This window comes from Homo sapiens, chromosome 11 (assembly GCF_000001405.40).
Source record: "Homo sapiens chromosome 11, GRCh38.p14 Primary Assembly".
Lineage (NCBI taxonomy): Eukaryota > Metazoa > Chordata > Mammalia > Primates > Hominidae > Homo > Homo sapiens.
In genome coordinates this window covers 4448983-4450824 of record NC_000011.10, presented here as the reverse complement: position 1 = coordinate 4450824, position 1842 = coordinate 4448983, and the positions used below count along the sequence as shown (strand labels likewise).

General features: G+C 47.1%; 1 protein-coding gene across 1 annotated transcript; it reads right to left on the bottom strand.

The window, feature by feature from the left end:
* Positions 1-463: 463 nt before the first annotated feature.
* Positions 464-1530, bottom strand: OR52K2 (olfactory receptor family 52 subfamily K member 2). Its single transcript, NM_001005172.2, has one exon. The coding sequence runs from the start codon at positions 1483-1485 to the stop codon at positions 541-543; it is 945 nt and encodes a 314-aa protein (NP_001005172.2). The 5' UTR covers positions 1486-1530; the 3' UTR covers positions 464-540.
* Positions 1531-1842: the final 312 nt, after the last annotated feature.

The following is a 1842-nucleotide window of genomic DNA, read 5'->3' as shown; positions in this document are numbered from 1 at the left end:
TTTCTAGCAAGCATAGGTGTCTTACTCAGAACCTGCAGCCCTGGAATGTTTCAAACTTCCTAACACTGAGTGTTTCATCAGAAGCTGGACACCACCAGTCAGAATGAATGAAGGATTCCTATGTCAGATATACTGTTGGCCCTCACCCAGGTCCTGAGTAGATAGTTCACCAAATTCCCAATGACTAAGAAAAGAAACTCAGATTTTCAAAGTCTTCTCTTCAGCAAATGAAGTTGGAAGCATCTTTGTGTCTTTCGGTGAAGTCACCTGGAGACCCATGGGTCAAGTCTCTGTCAAGTTACTGATAGGGGTGAGGGCACTGTGAGAAGACAGCACAGTCAGCACATTCAATCCACAGGCTACCAGAGGACACAGACCCATGAGTCCTGAACAGACTGGTGGCTCTGAGTTTCAGGACATCATTTTTTTTTTTTCCAAGAAAAAACTAAACATGAAGATCCTGGCAGCCGTGCACATTCTACCATAGCCTGTCTCCAACTCCAGCAGACAAGCCAACCCATTCTTTCTCCACCTCACCCTCTACATATCCTTTCTTGGGAATACTCCCAAGATGCTCTCACGGATTTGCTTGGTCTTGACACCATAGATTATGGGATTGACCATGGGTGGGAAGAGCAGATAGAAATTGGCAAGGAGGATGTGGACATGAGGGGCAGCATGGCGGGCTACACGGTGCATGACTGAAGAGATGACCACAGTTGTGTAGAAGGCTAAGATGGCACCTATATGAGAGACACATGTCCCAAATGCCTTGTAGCGGGCCTCCTGAGAGGCAAGCAGTAGAACTGCCTGAAGAATAAAGATATAAGACAGGATAACAAGGAGCAGGTCCAACACCACAATAAACATGGCCACAGCGATGCCATAGATATTGTTGAAGCTAGTGTCCCCACACGCCAGCCTCACCACAGCCATGTGTTCACAGTAGCAGTGAGCGATCACTGGGCCTCGGCAGTAGTGGAAACATCTCAGCAGGAAGGGGAGTGGAGTCATTAGTGTCACAGCCCGGGCCACAGCAGCCATGCCAATCTTGGTGATGAGGGACCCAGTCAGGACCTTGGTGTAGTGCAGTGGCTTGCAGATAGCCACATAGCGGTCAAAGGCCATGGCCAGCAGCACTGCTGACTCCATGATGGAGAAGGAGTGAAGGAAGAACATCTGGGCCAGACAGGCAAAGAAGTTTATCTCCCGATCCCTGAACCAGAATATGGCAAGCATTTTGGGCAGTGCTGAGGAGGAAAGGACCAGGTCGATGGCTGCCAACATGGCCAGAAAGAGGTACATGGGTTCATGGAGGGCTGCATCAGCCTGGATGATGAGAAGGAGAGTGCAGTTTCCAAGCAGGGCCAGTGTATATGCTAAGCAGAAAGGGATGGAGATCCAGATGTGCAGGTGTTCCAGGCCTGGAATCCCCACCAACAAGAAGGCAGTTGGATGTGTTAAGGTGATATTGGAGGCTGACATGGCTCCTGGGAATTCTCTTCCTCCTTATCTGCTTCCACAGGGCCCTTCCAGAGAATATTCAATATCAGCAGAATTACAATGCTCACATTCAAACTCTGATCATTCTTGTGAGAAGATTAGTTCTTAGACCCATTTTTAGACATGAAAAGAAATGAGAAAATAATCATATGTATCATGAAATATTATGCATGATCCTTGCCCTTAAGCTGTTTATAAAAACACTGGGTGCTCAGGACATTTAATTCCAATAAAGCTAGTATTACAAAGCAGCCTTATTGAGAAATCAAGTGGAGGAAGAGCCTTTTGTGGCCTGCATGTGGCCAAAAGCAACTTTGTAAATAATACAGATTGCTGCTT